Consider the following 22,157-nt stretch of genomic DNA (forward strand, 5'->3'; position numbering starts at 1 on the left):
CTATAAGAAAACTGTATTGTACCCCCTACATTTACACAAGTAAAAATCATAAAAGTAAAAGAGATCCTCATACAACAGGACAGAAATGCTGGTTTTAAAATAAAATTAACCTTGATCCTCACTGTAACTCAATAAATAAATAAATAAACAGGCCAAAGGCAGAGAGGAGAAATGATAACAGCAAAGCTTTAACTTCTGATCATAAAGCAGAGTCTACTGTCTCTTAGATTTGACTCTGTACTTTGATGGATGTAAGTATTTAAAAATCATACATGTTTGCATCTATGAAGGGCAGAGTCCTAGGGTGTTAATGGAAACACTGGATACTGGGTCTGGTGCATCAGTTCAGATAGGAATCATACAAAAAATAGCAGAATTTTATACTAACGAACTTATGGATTCAAGAACTATCACTGACCTACCTTCAAAAACAAAGTTTATACTGCTATTTCATCTTCTTCCTACACTGAAAAAACAAGATTAGTGAAAAATAAAGCCTAAGAGCACTTTTCCAGCCAAGAAAAAAATACACCAACATGTAGCTTATAATTCAATTTGCACATCTTACTTTCTATTCAAAACGATCTAATTTACCCAATAAAACCAAAGAAAGGAAGGAAGTTCAATAGCAACTGATAGTCTGATGAGGGGTGAGGAGCCATAGTAATGGTGCTGAGATGATTGTGAAACAAGAATTATTTTTACTATGGATACAACAGAAATGTCCTCTGTGGAACACATATGTTTCTTCTACACATAAGTAGTTTCCAAAAGTAAGAAACACTAGATTTAAACTTAGGAGGTTTTCTTTCTAGTTCCAACTCTGCCAATAAGTCTAATTTTTTTATTTGTAAAATAGAGCAGTTCAACTAAATGGCTTATAATGCTTCATTCAGTTCTAGTATTCTATGGAACATAATTTTTATTTAAAGATAGTGGAATAAAGTCTTATGAGTTCTCTCTTTTGTACCCCATGAAACACACACACACAAAGAAAACTAAAGAAAGACTGGGAATTGCCCAATCTCAAAGGATGACTGGTATGCACATTTGCTAATGCTCCACTGCTGTGAACTCACAGCACTCTCTCTGACTGTTGGTTTAACCAGTTATAGATTATCCAGTAGTGAGTGTCATCCATATCAAATAATTTTGATTAAATGACAGTGTTTTGAACAAAAGTCAGTCTACTTTTTTTCAGTTAAGAAATAATCACACATAAACCAACAGCAGGAATATGTATTAACAGTCACTTTAAAAAAAGATAAACTGTACAAAGGATGAAATTAAAAGGCAGAAGATAGAAACCTCTCAAAAGACCTCGTTGAAACAAAGAAAGAGTTCATCAAAACCTGAGAGAGATTGTAACATAAGCTCTACTCTAAAAGCCGTATTAGAATTAGAACAGTTTAAAGAAGAATATAAAGCATCAGTTATCCTAGGAAAGAAATGTAAGAGAAATTAATGTTAAACAACATTGAAAGTCCAATGATAAGTATCAAAACAAGAATAAAAATAACTGAGACAGTAACACAATCATTAGGTTGGAGGAAGTTACACAGGATAAAATGGAGAATATAATTATATAAGAATAGTTATCTTTTAGTTAATTATATAAATCACACAAATGAGATTTAAAATAGTATTTCTATAAAATTAAAAAATAAATGAGATTAAAGTTTTAACTTTCTAGGGGAAGAAAGGTTTACTTACATAAACAAAGATTTTGTTATAGTGGATGTCTCATTGGGTATCAGAGAGAAAATAAGAATGATTCAAGTGAAGGCAATGAACTCAATCAGAAAGATGAAATTAGATGTGGGTCTAGGCAAAAATAAATAATAATAAATCAACTATACATGAAAAATCTATTAGGCCTCAGAATCTCTGTGGCAACATTCACTTCAGATATATGGAGCAATTTCAACAAAAATCACAGAAAAAGAATGGACCAAGAATATTGTAAATATGTAAATGATCTTTTAGAGCTGATGGTAATAGACATTCATATCATAACAGAATTCAAGAAATGGAGTACATTTAAACATTTGCGAAAAATTTTATTTGCCAATCAATTAATGGGACAGGATATGTTTCAAAATAAAACAAAATGGAGAATGTGTTGTAAAAAGATTTAATATAGGCATTAGATATATTTAATGTGGTAAAAAGACTAAAATTCTCAGAGAAAATAGAAGTTAAATGCTACAAATTTTATATTTTAAAATTAACACTAAGACTAACAAATAAGAAGACTGAAGTATGGAAGTTGGCATTATAATATATATTAATGTCCTCATTTTTTATAACAATAACTTAATAGAGTCTAAAGTACAAAATTTAAATACAACACCATTCTCTTAATGTTTAAACTTTTATTTCTCAATTGTAAAGAATATTTGTCAATATGATATAAACATTTACAATAAATCCTCTAAGATTCACTTTAGTTTTTTCTCTTTGATCAAGTCAACAGATATAATCATTTCAATATTGCAAAAGATATATCCATTTCTTTTCTTCTTATTTTCTCTTTATAACTGACCATCTTCCTAAATAAATATCTAAAATTATATTCAGAAGATGTTCCTGGTGTTTTTTCATGTGTTGGGTTTGTTCGTAATTACTCATTTAAAAAAATTTGTCTTAAAATAAAATCTTCTATTATAAATACTAACTGTAGATAGTTAACCATGTTATTGTATTTTTCACTTCAAATTTAGTCATAGAAGATACTCAATAACTATTAACCCTTCCTCTCAGTCGTTTCTGGATGTCAATATGCTTTAAAACTAATTTTTATTTTTTAAAAAGATTTTTACTGTGATCCATTACAATTCACATACACACGCAATTCTTTTCCTTAGAAACACATGGACTAGTATAACATAAGTGGGGGGAAAAAGAGCTATGTTATATGAAAGATAGTTGTACAGATAAATTATTATGGTCAATCACTGTTAAAAGAGATATCTAATTTAGTTGCTTTGGAACAGAGGGGAAGGTTTAAAAAATTCTTGAAATGCTTTTTAAATTCACATTAGCTGTGTATTTTAAGCCATTTTCTAAGAAGTTAATGTGACTGTGGAGCTGGAGTGCATAGACTAGACTGATCTCATCATAGTCCACCTTGGCATAAGTTGATCCAATCACATGGCTGGGAATGGGAGGTTTGTTCTTCCAGTGACTGTTGGGGAACTGTATCCCCACAAAGAGGATAACTGAGGCTGGGCAGCAAGCAACCCTAAGGCTTCCAACCTCACCTAATGGGATAATTTCCCTGTACAAACGACTGGAAATGAAATAAAATACAAAGTCAGACCTTTCAGCAGGTATGGTCCTCAATGAATCAAAATGAAAAATTGTTAGTTCTTTCTTTCTTAGTTTTAATTCCCCTGGTACCTGGGGAAGGGTTAGCTAGAGTGACATCCTAATGATGAAGCAATGGAGAAGCCACTAATCATTTAATCTCTGCTCCTAGGACAAAAAAAAGTGTTAACTAAGAAGTTTTAAACTAGCTAATATAAAAATCCTAACACGTTAATTATAGCCCCATAATTTATCTTAAGTCTATGAGACTTGCCTCTCAACATTCCCTCCCCAACTCACTGTCTGAGTAACTTTTCAAATAAGCATATCTTTTTATATTTGTGCTTTACCTAAATCCCTTCAGTGTTTTTCAAACCCACTAGTTTCAGACAAGCCAAATCTTTTTAGCAAGGTGTTTTGTCATTTTGACAGATAATCAATTAACACCCGAAGCATCGTATTTTCAAGCACTCGCCTATTGCCAATTTAGATTTACAAATAGATATTCAGTGGGTGTTTCCTATAAAAATAACTGTCTAAACTTTTCAGTTTTTTTTAAGATTTTTGCTAAAACTTTTGCCTATCACACTAATTTCTAGGCCTGCTGACTTAAAACACTTGAGTTGACAAAGACTCACATTACTTAAGCAACGGGAAGTTCTTTTTATTTATTTATGTATTTATTTATTTATTTATTATTTTTTTTAATTATACTTTAAGTTTTAGGGTACATGTGCACATTGTGCAGGTTACTTACATATGTATAAATGTGCCATGCTGGTGCGCTGCACCCACTAACTCGTCATCTAGCATTAGGTATATCTCCCAATGCTATCCCTCCCCGCCCCCCCCACCTCCCCACCACAGTCCCCAGAGTGTGATATTCCCCTTCCTGTGTCCATGTGATCTCATTGTTCAATTCCCACCTATGAGTGAGAATATGCGGTGTTTGGTTTTTTGTTCTTGTGATAGTTTACTGAGAATGATGGTTTCCAATTTCATCCATGTCCCTATAAAGGACATGAACTCATCATTTTTTATGGCTGCATAGTATTCCATGGTGTATATGTGCCACATTTTCTTAATCCAGTCTATCATTGTTGGACATTTGGGTTGGTTCCAAGTCTTTGCTATTGTGAATAATGCCGCAATAAACATATGTGTGCATGTGTCTTTATAGCAGCATGATTTATAGTCCTTTGGGTATATACCCAGTAATGGGATGGCTGGGTCAAATGGTATTTCTAGTTCTAGATCCCTGAGGAATTGCCACACTGACTTCCACAATGGTTGAACTAGTTTACAGTCCCACCAACAGTGTAAAAGTGTTGCTATTTCTCCACATCCTCTCCAGCACCTGTTGTTTCCTGACTTTTTAATGATTGCCATTCTAACTGGTGTGAGATGATATCTCATAGTGGTTTTGATTTGCATTTCTCTGATGGCCAGTGAAGATGAGCATTTTTTCATGTGTTTTTTGGCTGCATAAATGTCTTCTTTTGAGAAGTGTCTGTTCATGTCCTTCGCCCACTTTTTGATGGGGTTGTTTGTTTTTTTCTTGTAAATTTGTTTGAGTTCATTGTAGATTCTGGATATTAGCCCTTTGTCAGATGAGTAGGTTGCGAAAATTTTCTCCCATGTTGTAGGTTGCCTGTTCACTCTGATGGTGGTTTCTTTTGCTGTGCAGAAGCTCTTTAGTTTAATTAGATCCCATTTGTCAATTTTGGCTTTTGTTGCCATTGCTTTTGGTGTTTTGGACATGAAGTCCTTGCCCACGCCTATGTCCTGAATGGTAATGCCTAGGTTTTCTTCTAGGGTTTTTATGGTTTTAGGTCTAACGTTTAAATCTTTAATCCATGGTGCTGGGAAAACTGGCTAGCCATATGTAGAAAGCTGAAACTGGATCCCTTCCTTACACCTTAAACAGGAAGTTCTAAAGACAATAGCAATTAATGCAGCAAAAGTCTGATATGACACCTTTGTCAGGCTAAAAGCTAAATCTCACCATTGCAAGCTAGTAATTCTCCCCTTTTAACGAATGGCAAATGTAAAAAGAGTTTGCCAAGTTAATGAAAGAGTGCATTGCTGCAATGTTTAGTATAGATCTAATTCTAAGTTACTATTTCAATTATTACCAGAAAGACTAGTAAAGTCATGCAAAGCTGGAGACACCTGGCCCCGTTTATTTTATTGACCACTTGCCATATCAAGATCCCTAATTCCTGTAAGTTGGCCCTCAATTCAGACCTATTTTTGAGACAAGATTTATGCTAAACTGGGGGGAGTCACTTGCTCACATTTCATGTCCCACAGGTAGGATATTTGTTCTACATTATCTGGCTTCCTAAAATGTCATTACTTCCTCTAGCTCTCTGTTCTCTACATTTAGTCAACATGAATTATTTGTAGTTATTCAGACTTTCTCTTGTGTTTCTGTTCTTCCTCTGCTTTTATTTTTAATGTCTCTTGCAATCCCTCTATTTTCACTTGGTCTGAATTAAGTAACCCAGTTCTAAATTCCTAGAACACTCGGGGATTATCTGCATCATACTTCAGTGTATCTGTTTCATTAGACTGTGTGGCCACTGGGGCCAAACATAGTGACTAAGGCAGTGTCCATAACTTGGTGAGTACATAATAAAATGTTGGCATTTTAGCATATTTCAGAAGATAATTAATTACAATCTCTGACTACAAAATATTTTTAAGGTATTTAACACAGATATATTTATTCAATGCAATAGCATATAGAAAGTTCTGCATTCACACATAGTAGCTAATCAGAGCCAGTACTGAATGGAGCATGACAGTTTAACATATTCAAACAAGCACCAAGTAAGAAAAGATAAAGGATAACTATAACCATGATATTGAGGTATATTGTCTAAGGAGTTATCCATATCTAGTATAATTTAATGTCTGGTGCTTATAGATTAAATATCTATTTAATACAAACAAACAAAAAGCTAATTTTAGGTGTTCCACGAATAAAATATAATGAATCCATCTCCCACTATTGGGACTAATGTGGAAAACTGAGTAATGGACCAAAACAACTAAATTCTTTAAACAAATTTTTCTTGGTTTAGTATTTATAAACATTTAAGTAAATTATTGGAAAAGATGAAAATATGAAGATTTTAGAGTTAAAAGAAAAGGCATGTAAAGGCATTTAAAAATAAACACATTTCTTGATTTCTTACATTGATCCATATTATTGTATTTCAGCTCATTCAATATTAGTAATAAACAGGCAACAAGCTGCTGTATCTCTTTGAGAATGAATTGTAAACTTATGAAGTAACAAGACGAATCAGGAAGAAAAATTCTATTCAGAGAACAATCATTGAAATCAGAAAGAGATATATTTAAGTTATATCTGTATCACTTACTACCTCTGTAATTTTGGGTGAGTTATTTAGGTTATAAAAGCCTGATATCTACCTCAAAGTGTTGTAAGAATAAATAGTAATTACGCATGCAAAGGGGAAGCAAGGAGATTAACAAATAGTTAATGTTTCATTCATTTGCTGTCATTTACTATGACTTTTGTTAAGGAATTGTTTTTCATAAAACAAATTGTATTAAATAATCATATTACCCATTAGCTTTCATATATAATTCGGAAATGTATTCTCAAGAATAACCAATGACATTATAACAAATAAGTTGCTTGCTTCTCAATGTTTACCAAGCACGGAGTGAGTTACTGGATATCCACTATTCTCTAGATAATTAATTGATAGCATTAAATATGCCCAACTCTGGCCTTGTAACTTTAGAAAGTCCCATGAGTTAATTATGCTGTGTAGGTTTTGCTTCTTAAGAAAACTGAACGTATTTTTAATACTATGGTGTTTGTTAGGTTAAAAGTTAATTGGAAAAATAAAATATTTCCACTCCAAGCAGAATTTGTTTTTCACCTGTGGCTAACATATGAAAATTATACACTTTCTTGGTGCTACATAGTACAATACAAAAATTGTGCTGCAAAACAAAAATTAAAAGATGTAAAGAATTTTGGTGTGACTTTCAGTGATCATGATATGCTTAAAATAATATGCATAATTGAAACAAAAGAATGAATCTTTGAATATAAACCACAGAATATTTCCAGGAAAAGCATATTAGCTTGTCTCAGTTAAATCTTCCAACCAAAGGCTAGAAAATTTGAGTAACTTCTTTTTATTAGTCACTTTAAAGCTTTCAAGTCCTGTAGGAACAAGATCCTGGACAGAGGAGAAGCAAAGAGGTGAATGTGGATTTCCTATGTGTGATTCTTCCATCTGGGGATACGACAATCCACATACGGTGGTATGGAATTCAAGAAGTTGAACAAATATATTTTTTTAATCTCCCAGAGGTGGGATAAAATAAATTGAATGTAAGCCTGACGGGGAGGAGCACACAAATACTTTAGCCTTTTATTTGTGAGGCCTGAAGGAATATACTCTTAAAAAAACAGTAACTTAGGAACTGACTAGCTGTCACAAACATTGAAATCCCACCAAGTATTAGCTCAATCACTAACTGAATTATGGTAATTTCCAATAACCTATACTGAATTCTAGAGTCTGGAAACTGAAGATAGCTATGAGCAATTTACCAAGACTATGGAAGTATGGATTACAGTTCAGGGCTTGCAGAGGTGGAACAATTTTTATGAATACACTAGTCTTCCAGTTGCATGAAGACAAAATCAAGTAAGATGTAGACCAGATCTCATAATGATTTGTAATCAGTTTCAAATAAGCTTAATTTCATATTGGATTAAGGTGGTATGGCCCAAATTTAACTACCTGTGAAAAACGAAAGAAAAACTCTATAAAGACAAGCCAATGTGTTAAAATATTTCTAATTTTTTTTCTGCACAATTCCATTTAAAAAATTACATGTCATAGGCCACGCGCGGTGGCTCACCCCTGTAATCCCAGCACTTTGGGAGGCCGAGGCGGGCAGATCACAAGGTCAGGAGATCTAGACCATCCTGGCTAACACGGTGAAACCCCGTCTCTACTAAAAATACAAAAAATTAGCCAGGCGCCTATAGTCCCAGCTACTTGGGAGGCTGAGGCAGGAGAATGGTGTGAACCCAGGAGGCGGAGCTTGCAGTGAGCCGAGATAGCGCCACTGCACTCGGGCCTGGGCAAAAGGGCGAGACTCCGTCTCAAAAAAAAAAAAAAAAAAAAAAAAAAATTACATGTCATAGCAATGGGCAAAAATAAATGGTGGTGCTAATTATGGTGATCATGATGATAATAACAAAGATTAGAAAAGAAACAAAGAAATAGTTTCAGAGGAGTAATAGGTTATGAGGATTTGAGACCTAAATTATAATATGAGATTAATTAATATTTTCAACCAAATAAAGATGAATTGGAATTTTTCGTCAGAGAACTGAACTTTATAAAATGAGTTATGAGAAAATTAAAAGAATAGAAAATATGCTATATGTAAAATTAAGAATTAAAGGGCTGTACTGAAAAACACATGAGAAACAGCAAAAGACAAGATTGGAGATCTGAACAGTAAAACAAATGAAAATATTTAGAGAGAATACAGAAAGAACAGAGATACCATGAATAGGTCTAATATATGTGCAAATGCAGTCCCATTAGAAATGAAAAAAAATTAGACAGGATAATTATTTGAATAAGTAATAGCTAACGATTTCCAAAAACTGATTACTGATATGAAGTCACAGATTTATGGAGATATATATAGATATATATATATAAAGTCAGGCCTTCCATAAATATATATACACGCAAAAACTATATATGATATATATATCAATATCATATAGATATTATATATCTATATATAATATAAACATATAATCTATAGTATATAATAACACATAACACATTATAGTAAAGTATCTAAAATGTTGAATAGAAAGAGAAAATTTATAACCACCATCTGATTCAATGCTATTCCTATCAAACTACCAATGATGTTTTCATAGAATTAGAAGAAACTATTCTAAAATTCGTATGGAACCAAAAAAAAAAAAAAAAGCCTGAATAGCCAAAGCAATCGTATGCAAACAGTACAAAGCCAGAGGCATCACACTACCCAACTTCAAGCTATACAACAAGGCTACAGTAATCAAAACAGCATAGTACTGGTACAAAAATAGACACATAGACAAATGGATCATGGTGGAGAGCCTAGAAATAAAGCCACACACCTACAACCATCTGATATTTGACAGAAACAAGCAACAGGGAAAGGAATCGCTAGTCAATAAATAGTGCTTGCATAACTTTCTAGCCATAAGCAAAAGATTGAAACTGGACCTTTTCCTTTTATCATAAACTAAAATCAATTCGAAATGGATTAGAGATTTAAATGTAAAAGCCAGAACTATAAAAACCTGGAAATAACTAGGAAATACCATTCTGGAAATAGGCACTGGGAAATATTTTGTTATAAAGACTCCAAAAGCAATTGCAACAAAAACAAAAATTAACAAGTGGGACTTAATTAAACTGAAGAGCTTCTGCACAGCAAAGGAAACTTTTAACAGAGTAAAGAGATGACCTATGAAATGGAAGAAAATATTTGCAAACTATGCATCTGACAAGGGCCTACTATCCAGAATCCATAAAGAACTTAAACAATTTAACAATAAAAAAAAACCATTAAAAAATGGGCAAAAAATGTGAATGGACACTTCTCAAGAGAAGACATACACGTAGCCAGCACGCATGTAAAAAAAAAAAAATGTTCAATATCACTAATCACTAGAGAAATGCAAATCAAAACCACAATGAGATACCATCTCACACCAGTCAGAATGGCTATTATTAAAAAGTCAAAAATTAACAGATGTTGGCAAGGTTTTGGAGAAAAGGTAATGCTTATACAGCGCTGGTGAGAATGTAAATTAGTTCAGTCACCGTGGAAAGCATTTTCGAGGTTTCTCAAAGAACTTAAAACAGAACTACCATCCAACCGAGCAATCCCATTTCTGGGTATATACCCAGAGGAATAGAAATCATTCTACCATAAAGACATATGAATGTGTGTATTCATCATGGCACTATTCGCAATAACAAAGACATGGAATCAACCTAGATGCCCATCAACAGTGGACTGGATGAAGAAAATATGAAACACAGGAATAGAAAACCAAATGTCACATGTTCTTACTTATAATTGGAGGTAAACATTGAACACATTTGAACACAAAGAAGGGAACAATAGACACCAGGCCCTTCTTGAAGGTGGAGGGTGGGAGAAGGGAGACATCAAAAAACTACCTACAGGGTACTATGCTCATTAACTGGGTGACCAAATAATCTGTACACCAAACCCCCACAACACACAATTTATCTATGTGACAAACCTGCCCATGTACCCTCTGCACCTACAATAAAGGTTGGAAAGAAAAATTTTTTAAATAAAAATAAAACCACTGTAGTAATTCGTTGTGACTGCCATAACAAAACACATAGACTGGGTAGCTCAACAACAGAAATTTATGTTCTCAGTTCTTGTGGGTAAGGAAATCCGAGACAAAGGTGCTGGACAATTTGGGTCCTGGTAAGAACTCTTTTCCTGGCTTCCAGGTGGCTGCCTTTTTGCCTTATATGACAGAGACAGAGAGTGAGAGAAAGAGAGAACAAGAAAGAGAAAGGAGAGAGTGAGAAAGAAGGGGAGAAACAGCTCTTCGTTTTTCTTCTTATGAGGCCACAGTCCTACGGAATTAGGGCCTCACCCATCTAACCCTATTTAGCCTAATTACCTTCTAAAGACCTATCTCTAAGTATAATAACATAGAAGCTTAAGGCATCAACATATGAATTTTAGAAAGACAAAATGCAGTCTCTTGCAAACAGTTAAATTTCTTCAAAAAACAATAATGAGATTAATAACTGGCCTGTTAACATAAATGATAAAAAAAACACGGTTTGATTTTTTTTCAAGGGCTGAAAAACTAAATAACACTTACCAATAAAGAATTCTATAGAGGCCAGGCGCGGTGGCTCATGCCTGTAATCTCAGCACTTTGGGAGGCTGAGGCGGGTGGATCATGAGGTCAGGAGTTTGAGACAAGCCTGGTCTATACGGTGAAACGCTGTCTCTACTGAAAACACAAAACTTAGCTGGGTGTGGTGGCAGGTGCCTGTAGTCCCAGCTACTCGGGAGGCTGAGGCAGGATAATTGCTTGAAGCCAAGAGGCGGAGGCTGCAGTGAGCCAAGATCGCGCCACTGCACTCCAGCCTGGGTGACAAAGTGAAACTCCCATCTCAAAAAAAAAAAAAAAAAAAGACATTCTATCATAGTAAAAAATGTCCTTCAAAAATTAAAGCAAAATAAACACAATTTTTAGACAAAAAAAATTGAGAGGTTTCATCAGCAGCAGATTTTCAGTAAAGGGAATATAAAAGGACATTTCCAAAGTATAATGACTCAATATGAACACAGGAAGGCAGAGGAAGGCATAATGAACAAGGGAAAAGAATACTATGTAGATAAATAAATTAATTTTTACTGCTTCAAAATCAAGGATGACTTCTGGGTTTAAAATATACACATGCACTACCTGACGACAATACCATGAAAGGCTGGGAGGGACATAATGGAGTTAAAGTGTTCTAAAGCCCCTGCATTGTTTAGAAAATTGTAAAACAAGTAATTTATCTTAGACTATAATAAGTGTAAAATGTACATGAGTAGTGTGATAAATAATATGGTAAACACTGAAATAATAATAAAACAACGAATACTTGAAAGCTATAAAAAGGGAAACAAGAAAGACTAACGAAATTATACTAAAAAAGAAACCAAGTAACCAAGTAAGGAATGCAAGAGGAACAGAGAATAACCGTGACAAGTAGAAAACAAATACTAAACATCTTTACTTCAGTTGTGCCTGAAGTACAAATTCATCATATGCATCACTGGATATAATGGTAACAATGGGTAATTTTCTTCTCACTTCTTGGTTCTTGGTTCTATGAAACCTTCCTCTTAGAGGTACAGAAATACCATATACTAGACATTGGCAAATATATATATATACACACACATATATATGTATATATACACACACATATATATGTATATATACACACACATATATGTATATATACACACACATATATTTACAGTGTGCATATATTTAAATATGTGTATATACCAATGAGGTGATATTTCCATACACACACACACACACACACACACACACACACACCTGCTCTTGTTTTCTTGATGGTGTTTTCTTTTGTAAGTCAAACAGTACTTTCTTTGGCTTTTCATTTATTTCAGCCTCAGGAATATAATAGTCAACTCCCTACCACCAGAGACCTCTATAGATCAAGGCCCCATGGATGCTACTTCAGCCTTGTGGCCCATTAGGATAACTGCACTCGGATAATTGCATCCACATGACCTCCCATGTTTAAGAGATGCTTCCTGACCTCCGCTATGTTAGAATCCTATCATCTCCATTGACCTAGGACAGAGCTGAACAAACTTCATCTATTTGTTCTCACTTAAGAACTGGTTGCGCTGAAGGTCAGCTGAAGTGGAAAGAGAAGAGATACGATAAAGTGTTTTATAGAACGGGGTCAACATTTTCCAATGTCTGAATTATTGGCCTTCACTGACAATTGACTGACCATAAAATATAAAACATGAAATGCCTCAAGGGGCCTGAAACCATAGTAGGTAACAGAGAACTATGAATATACTAAATTAAATATAAGATCTAAAGATCTTTCCTATTGTGCAAATTAACTCTCATAGAAAACAGGAAATCTTATAAAATAGTCAAATTGAAATCAGTTTATATTTTCAGAGTATCTTTCTTATGCTACTGTTTACATTTATACCTGAGCACCTGAAGTCTGTCATCCAACCCGAGTTATCAAGATGGTATTTTCTCAAAGTTCACTGATGTCCACCTTTATTGTTAATCTCCATAGCCCATTCTCAGTCCTCATTCTCTTCAACTTTTTCTGAAGCATTTAATTCTTTTGACAGCATCCTGCATATTTATTTTGTTTTCTTTCATGTCATTATTTTGTAAATCCTTTTTAGGTTTATCTTTCATAATAATCCCTTTCTAAATCTGCGATTATTTTTTCTAAGCACACGTTAGCAGCTCTTCTTTCTCCTCAGGTTAAAAATAAATAAATAAAAGAAGAGAAAGGAAAAACCATCTCCCAGGGATTATTTTTAGCCCTCTTTTCTTCTTACTTTACACAGTCACTTTGGACTATCTAAATCACACGACAGCTTCAAAGACCAACTCCCTAACATGACTCTTAAATCTTCAACCCTCAACACATAAACCACTCACACTAAATCTTTCTCTGCTACTCCTTTTAAGAGGAACTTATGGTTCTTTCTAGATTTCTCACTCTTAATTGCTGCTCTATTTTCCACATTGAATTCCTACTCATTCTTTATTAAGAATAAAATACAACACAAAATTTACCTACTCTATCAAGGCCTCTGTTACTTCCAGAGGAAGAAAAAGTATTTTCAATTTTCTATTTATACAGTGTATTACTGTATCTAGCACCCACTACCCTCTATTGTAATTTAAAAAATTATCTACCACATTACATTGTGAATTCTGTGAATAAAGGTCTTAATCTCATTCATTTTTATCTTTTCCATAGGATTTACCACTGTGCTTTTTGAACATAGAGAGCCCTTAACAAATGCTACCTGTTTTTCTTTGACAATAAAATCTTGAGTCTTCCTAAAACTTTATGGCCAACTATAAATAAACTGCTATGGTGTGATGTCTGTAAACACGGAAGAACAAGAATAAATTAGCTTTATTCTCCTTTTTTTGTGAAGTATGTCATATCTAATTTTATGCTTTTCTTGGGAGATCTATAATCAGTGTTTTCTCTGGGACTATTTTATTGCAGATGCTCTTCCTGTTGCATAAGAGATTTACTCCTAATGGTGTAAGTGAAAATTGATTTTTGTTGCAAATTAAATATACATTTAAATACACTAGAATAATTTCTTATTTAGGCCTAAACTGAAGATGCAGCATTAATTTTAATATTCCCAAATATACACTTAACACATTGGATCTTTTGTTTTGTTTGCTATCTTTAATTAGGTAAAACACAAACTTCTTTTCTTAATACAGATATTATGTACGTCTTTGTTCAGTACTGCTCCAAAAGCTCTATTATCACTTCTTTTAGAAATGATGAAATTCTTCCTATTTTTATTTACTTGCTTTTCTCTTAACTCTTAACTCTTTGTCCAACTTTAGAAGTATAAGGCTGTGAAGATAATTAAATGGAAAGCTGCTTATAAAATATTTTACATCACTAAATGAAATTCCATTAATCTGGTTCACTTTTACATAACATGTTAATTTAAACGTAAGCATGCTTTCTCAGTAGTATCATTTACCAACATTTAAAATCATTTAATTCAGTAAATTGATTTAAAATGATTACCATTACATATCTGGAAAGTTTACTCCATGGACATTTTTTTTTATAGAATAAGAAAGACAAAAAACAGTTTAATATTTCATAGACAATTTTATTTCATTTAAAGGATTGGTCTACGTTGGCACATATCCCAAAGACCTAAAAGTGTCTCTGGCATTTAATAAGTCTTTAGTAAACATTTATGGAATGAATTAAAAAGTTATGACTTTTTTTCTTTTGTAGGTTAAATTTTATATTTAAAATAAAATTATATTAGATAATAACTCTTATTTTAATAGTCTTACTTGGTAAATGTTGTTAAATTTGTATCAATCCACAAAAGGATGCTTTGTTAGTCTATCAAATCCAAACGTCTAGAAACTATCAACTTAGAGAATAATTTTCTGCATGTAGTCACATTAATGTCTAAAATTTTTTAGTTCCAACCCCCACCTTGTGCAACTTTTACTCCTCCACTATCTTGAAAGAAATATCGAAGTGGCTCAATATTCATTTCCGTTGGTGGTAAGGGTGGTGTGAAAACAGGAAAACAAAATGGATCAGCCAAGTAAAAGTCGTTTTGTAAAGTAAGACCAAAAAGAAAAACAAATAATACATGAATCCAGAAGCTCACATATTGTACTGTAGTTATAGATTCAAGTCAAGGTCAGACAGTCAGATGGAGTCAGTACTAAAGAAATGGCGGGGCCGTGTGCGGTGGCTCATGCCTGTAATCTTGGCACTTTGGAAGGCTGAGGCAGGCAGATCAGGTGGTCAGGAGATCGAGACCATCCTGGCTAACACGGAGAAACCCCGCCTCTACTAAAAATACAAAAAATTAGCCGGGCATGGTGGCTGTCGCCTGTAGTCCCACCTACTCGGGAGGCTGAGGCAGGAGAATGGCATGAACCCGGGAGGCAGAGCTTGCAGTGAGCCGAGATCGCGCCACTGCACTCCAGCCTGGGCGACAGAGCGAGACTCTGTCACAGAAAAAAAAAAAAGAAAAGAAACGGGGACACAAGATAAGCAAGACGATCAGCTGGAATCTGAGGAAGGAGTCTTATAGCAATCTTCTTGAACATTACAAAGCATCTATGATTTATATTTATGAACAATCCGGGTAAATGGTTTAAAAGGTTTAAAGGATCTCAGGGCAGGAGAAAATATTCCCCCAAAAGCTATTTTTGGATTTGCTGTGACTGTGGCAATATTAACAGTTCTCCTAAATCAGTAGTTCTGAAACTTTGGTATAAACTGAGGAAGTTGTTGATGTTTTTATCCCTTAACGGTGTGATGGAAGAGGCCTAGGATTGTGACTGGTATAGGGAAAACCTGCATATCTGCAATTTAGCATGCAAGAGAGGGTAGCATTTCTTTGGCTATATTTTGAGAAGTACATTCCGTGTGAAACATTTTCTCTTCTTGTGAAATACAACAAGTTGTTCTGCCCATTCATACTAATTTATCCTCTAATATTTTAGACTAACAGGTACATGGCTATTTGTGCTGATTGGGACACCATTAAAACAGAGATATACATTTAAGACTTAAGAAAGATGCATTTCCTCAGTATTTAGAAACTAAATCTAGGAACAATAAAATTAAGAAACAATAAAATTAAGAATATATATAGCTCAGAAAAGGTGAACGTAAGCAAAGCAATGACATGGGAAATAATGCCTAGTTTATTTTTTACGGCATTTAGAAAGACTGTTTTTTGATAGTCGTGTTTGAAATACATACTGAGTATTATCAGTTCTTTAGATGCAGTCGAGAAACTCAGAGGTTCTTAAACATTTTGTAAGGAAATCCTCAACCTTCGTAAGTATATTTCTGAAACTTTCTGATGTGTAATATTCTTATATGATAATTTTATTAAGGCCTATAATGGAAGTATCCGTTGATACTGTTAAGCCAAAATTTTATCTAGAATTCGGATTTTGTTACTATCAGCTGATAAAAACGTGGACAATCTTTGGTGAGCAAACTTTCAGTTTTGGCAGTTTCACTGTTGTGTTTGTGTGTGTGCATTTATTTCAGCAAGTAACTTCTACTATTACATTTTAGAAAAATAAAGAAAACATGGAAAAACCCATTGTAACTAATAATAGGTGTCCTTCTTATAAAATTATGGCAAAATTGCATTTTCTTCCATGCTTAATATGGCATAATTTGAACCTTAATAGGACATCACTACATTTCAACATGTAGGCTACAATTCAATTTAAAAAAATGATATAATTGAAAAGCATATAGACTTACAGGCATAAAATAATGCTTAAAATTATGAATAATTAGTTTTTTTGATTTGATTTTTAGTTGTTCTTTACAACAGTGCCATGACCATGACCAACATCTACACATAACCACAACTTTAAATCTGTTGAAATTTAACAGTTGGTTTTTTTCAGTCGCTTTCAGGAATAAATTATATGTAAAAGCAGTGGGCTGCTCAGCAAACATGAATACATAATCATAAATGTAATTATGCATGTCCACATATATGCATGTGTACATAGTCTTAATAATGTAGGAAAAATTCAAATTTGAACTTAATTGTATCTTGTTTGAAATAACTCATGATATTTTATGATGTGTTTAATAGTGGTACAAAATGCGTATGTTTCTTTGTATGAATTCTTTGTTTTTCCAAAACCTATTCTTTATTCTTATCTTTGGCACAGAATTGATTGTCAGTAAACATGTATTTGAAAAAAAAAAAAAAAGACATTTATTGGATAAGTTCCTGTTGTTTCCCTTTGCTTCCCTGATAGTATAAGAATTTCAGCTTTATAAACCCTGCTTTTATTTTAAGAAGAAAACAAATTTGACATTCTCTCCATGAAGCATGTGTAGTCTCTAACCTTCTGTTCTGAAAAGTTTAGTTAATAGAGTACATTGTATGTTCCAAGCACTACGTGTTTGATAACTTAATAAGTTCTGGTACTGACATTTGAAGGCCTTGCAGTTTAGTGTAAATTTTATTGTATTCACAGTCAAAATCACAACATCAATTTGATGTTCAAATGTTTTATTACTTCCTAAATGATTATTTTTGTACAATTAGATTTGAAGCTTCGTGAGAAAAATAAAATTATCTTTTGCTACTTCACAGATCAGTAATAATTTTTGATTCATCTCTTAAATTTCTAGTGAAATCCAGATAATAGGTCAAAACTCCAGATGAATCATCCTTGGTCTTCTGATTTCTTTCTCATCACACATTCTGTCTATTACAAAATTATTTTGGCTTTGCCTTCAAAATATGTCTAGAATCTGACCAGTTTTCTTTACTTCCACTGCTACAGTAGTTTAAACCACCAACATCTCGCACCTAAAATACTAGAGGAACCTTCAAAAAGGTCTCCTTTATTCTGCATTTTCACCTCACAAACCATTCCCAATATCACATCCAGAGTAATCTTGTTAAAATGTAAAGGAGGGAGGTCAAACCTCTGCTTAGAGCATTACAATGGTTCCTAATTTCACTTATAGCCTAAAATCTTCATAGTCACTTTCAACACTCTTTATTACCTAAAATACCCCTCCTTCTTTCCCCTCTTCTTAACTTTAATTCTAACTATTTTTTCCCTCATCCACTCCATCCACATTGACCCCTTGCTAATGTAAAACATATGAAGACAATAGGTATTTGCTTTACCTGCTATCTCCACTACACAATGCAAATGCCCGCCCCACCCCACCCCACACTCTCAATTTCCCTTATTTTGTACTAGTTTTTCTTTTCATGGGCCTTATAAGCTTCTTACTGGTATCTTATTGGTACTTATCTTGGTTCATTGGTATTTCTCATTAAAATGTAAGCTCTACAAAGCAGAAGTCTTTATACATTTATATTGTATATTTTTACAGAGATTTCTGCAGATAGATCTGTGATTAGAATAGAGCTTGGCAAATATTAGGTTATCATTAAGTTATTTTAATATGAATAATTAATAAATGAATGAAAAAGTGAGTGATTCTGAAAAGCAAAGTCCCAGAGTTATATATATTTAAACAATGTAGATATTTGAATTTTCAATCAGAAATCACAATAATCCTTACAATTTATTTTATTTTATTTTATTTTATTTTCGAGACAGAGTTTCGTTCTTGTTGCCTAGGCTGGAGCGCAATGGCGCCATCTTGGCTCACTGCAACTTCTGCCTTCTGGGTTCAAATGATTCTCCTGCCTCAGCCTCCTGAAAAGCTGGGATTACAGGCATGCACCACCACACCCAGCTAATTTTTTTGTATTTTTCGTAGGGACGGCATTTCTCCATGTTGGTCAGGCTAGTCTCGAACTCCCAACCTCAGGTGATTCACCCGCCTTGGCCTCCCAAAATGCTGGGATTACAAGCATGAGCCACCGTGCCGGACCAATCCTTACAACTTTAAGGATGTTTTTCATTCCTACATATTATTGAATTTATGTACCAGTTTAATGACAGAAGTAATTTTTTTTTTTTTTTTTTGAGATACAGTCTTGCTTTATTTCCCAGTCTGAAGTGCAGTGGCATGATCGTAGCTCACTGCAACTTCTGACTCCTGGGTTCAATTAACTCTCCTGGCCTCAGCCTCTGGAGTAGCTGGTACTACAGGTGTGCACCACTGCATCTGGCTGAGTTTTTGGTTTTTTGAAATTTTTGTGGAGACAGGGTCTTGCCATGTTGCCCAGGCTAGTCTCAAACTCCTGGCCTCAAGTGATACTCCCACCTCAGCCTCCCAAACTGCTGGGATTACAGATGGGAGCCACTGTGCTCATCCAGAAGTAATTTTTGAACTAAAACATGGCAGATCATTCCTGATTTGCCTTGAGAATTGCAAGACCTCTCCTCATAAAATATATGAGAATGGGAAAATAGCCACAATATGCCATTATGTACAGACAAATCCAAGAAGGAATTTATTCAGAGACCCAGAAACATGGAAAGTAGGTTGATTATACGGGGATAGATTTCAATACAGAACATGAAAAAAGACTTGAGAAAAACACAAGAATCTATGTGGGAAGTCGAATATCATTCCTAATAATGCAATTTTTTAATTATTAAGTATCCAGAGTTGCAGTTACCCAATCCCAGTGTACTAGATAAATGGGAACTCAGAAATAGTGACAAAAGCAGGAAGAAAATCATAGTAATTGGGAAGAATAGGCTAGGAGTTGGATGTGTAAATCGCATTTCCTGACTGAGCACTGTGCAACGTGGCCATGCCACAGTAGAGGTGCAAAATGGTGGCTGCTCATTTGGCCTCTTCCCACTCCAACAGCATTCTTTTTTTATAGTGTCTATTTTGAATCATGTAGTTTTCATAACCTATACCCTGATATTAATTTAATGATATAAAATAATGCAAATTATTTTATAATTGCTCTATGATGCATTTCTTTACAAAAGACAGTGGATTTGTAAAGACATCCATTTTTATATCCTGTTGTCTTCACAAACCCACTCATGGCTACTGGTCAACATATCAATTAAAACCCTATAGGAAGAGCCAATAATTATGTTTACTTATATTCAGGGCAATGAAAATGTCAGCACATTCAGCATCCTTATACGATTACAACCTTCTGTATACTTCAGAACACATATGACAGGTAATTTAATATCTGGCATAGTGGAAAATTCCAGCAAATCTAACAACTCCCTAATGGCATCTTGCCACAGATGTTTAATAGGGGAAGAGAATGTATCAAATCTGTATTCCTATTTAAGTCCTAGAGAAATGAGCTTGTTTATTTATAGCAAAACAATGCTTTTACAGTAGCACTTAAAATATATTGCCTGTCAGTTTTAATATTTATTATGACATAAGTGACTGATAGAAACAGGAAGAAATAATATTTTAAAGACAGAAAGATACAGCTTTGTTGAATTCTTTCTGAGACTCAGGTTAAGAAAGCTGTAAGTGACAGCTACTTTGAAGGAAGAATATTACTTACTAGAATTTCAAATAATGAAAATAATAAAACAGATAAAAGAAAAGAAAACTATTATTTTCTTTCAGACTATAAATTTCCACTTCTATGTAGACGACAAATCACTCATCGCTCTCTAGCATGTATGCAAACAGATAGATTAAAAGCTAAGTAACCAAAGAAATGGAAAGATCAACTTTCTTGTGACAGAACATCCAAAAATGTCAAGAGGTAACTTTGGGAAAAGAGATTACAAGAGAAGACTGAGCACATTTCATTTCCTCCCTCCTTTCTTGAAGGAGATAATCAGTCATGAATATCATCGCTTTTTTTTTTCCATTTTCTCCTTTTACAATTTTGAGTTGATTTTGCCCTTTGAAATCACTTTCTCTAACCTCTCCAGTAAAAACCAATACCTGAACTAAAATAAAATAAAAAACTTAAAACAAACATTTATATTTAAATCCTTTTTAGTCCAAATTTGGGAAGAAGAGAAATAGCATAAAATAATGGCTTGTTACAGATGTATTTTTCTATTATTATTATTTTTTAAATTTATAACTTTTATTAACAAAACAAACTGAGGAGAAGGGCCAAAGAACACTGGTTTTGGAAGTTGGATGAATAAGTAAGTGATAGAAACAGGGTTAAAATATCAGTAAACATAATTTTCCCATGGGTAACTTCATAAATGACTAAGTAAGAACTGATTAAGTATTTTGGTTTGCATTGTTAAAGATTATGAAACTCAAAAAATTTACAAGCCTCTTGAAAATCTTAAACATACAATATTTAAAAATATGCAGCTGGTTCTTGGGGAAATATAGAAGTGTCATATAAATGCTCATTACAACATATTTCAAATTATAATAATGCTGATATTTCTAACAAAACACAAGAGCCCTTGTGACCTGCTTCTATCCAAGTGTATCTTTAATCTCACTTACCTTTTTTATGTATGCAAGTGGTACGATGGAGATGTAGGGCTTCATGAGAGAGACAATGCATGCAGGAATGCACCTGCATTGCCCCTGTTATGCAGCTAGCAGATGGAAATGTGGTTAAGAACTTCCTCTTATACCAGAATGTTTGCTCAGAAGGGACTGTCCCAACTTAGGCGCAGGTGTAATAAATCAACTAAATGTCCTTAACTTGACTCAAGCTCATTATAATATCATTAGCATGACATCTGCATTGTGGTTTCACCACCACCACCCCTACTACCCACTGGGCCTTTCTGTGGTGCTTATGCATAATAATTAAGATGGAATAACTATGGACAAGAACGCACCTGGGCAGTAAGAACTGGGACCAGGAAGCAACTAGGAAGTAAAAGGTTGTGCAAGATGCAAATGAGAAACACACCCCTAGAAATGAGGTTTTTAATCCCCTAGGGCAACCCACTTTTGAGTCCCCTCTCCTTACTGAGCGCTTTCTGTCACTTAATAAAGTCTATTCTGCCATACTCACCCTCCTATGTCCATGTACCTCATTCATCGTGG

The 22,157-nt window shown here is 33.9% G+C and overlaps 1 long non-coding RNA gene across 3 annotated transcripts in view, besides 3 other annotated features; it reads right to left on the reverse strand.

Annotated features, from left to right (window-relative positions):
- LOC107985242 (uncharacterized) overlaps positions 1–22,157 on the reverse strand; it is a 199,987-nt gene that overhangs the window by 110,140 nt on the left and 67,690 nt on the right. For 2 of the 3 annotated variants that reach the window (XR_001738351.2, XR_001738353.2), the window contains exon 1: positions 21,603–21,714. The exons of the other annotated variant lie outside the window; for it this stretch is intronic. This is a non-coding gene — a long non-coding RNA (uncharacterized LOC107985242). Of the gene's footprint in view, positions 1–21,602; positions 21,715–22,157 lie in introns of those variants that run through there. 3 annotated transcript variants of the gene reach the window in all.
- Positions 862–1,363: an enhancer, noted in NCBI's record as "NANOG hESC enhancer chr1:194237985-194238486 (GRCh37/hg19 assembly coordinates)". NCBI's record gives its function as "activates a minimal SCP1, AML or CMV promoter by ChIP-STARR-seq in naive H9 embryonic stem cells {active_cell/tissue: H9 hESC(naive)}" and the evidence as "EXISTENCE:reporter gene assay evidence [ECO:0000049][PMID:30033119]".
- Positions 12,054–12,323: an enhancer, noted in NCBI's record as "active region_2273". NCBI's record gives its function as "activates an Ori minimal core promoter by ATAC-STARR-seq in GM12878 lymphoblastoid cells {active_cell/tissue: GM12878}" and the evidence as "EXISTENCE:reporter gene assay evidence [ECO:0000049][PMID:35858748]".
- Positions 21,573–21,773: a silencer, noted in NCBI's record as "peak612 fragment used in MPRA reporter construct". NCBI's record gives its function as "represses an SCP1 promoter by STARR-seq MPRAs in K562 erythroleukemia cells {active_cell/tissue: K562}" and the evidence as "EXISTENCE:reporter gene assay evidence [ECO:0000049][PMID:32103011]".

The sequence above is a fragment of the Homo sapiens genome, chromosome 1 (genome assembly GCF_000001405.40).
Source record: "Homo sapiens chromosome 1, GRCh38.p14 Primary Assembly".
Lineage (NCBI taxonomy): Eukaryota > Metazoa > Chordata > Mammalia > Primates > Hominidae > Homo > Homo sapiens.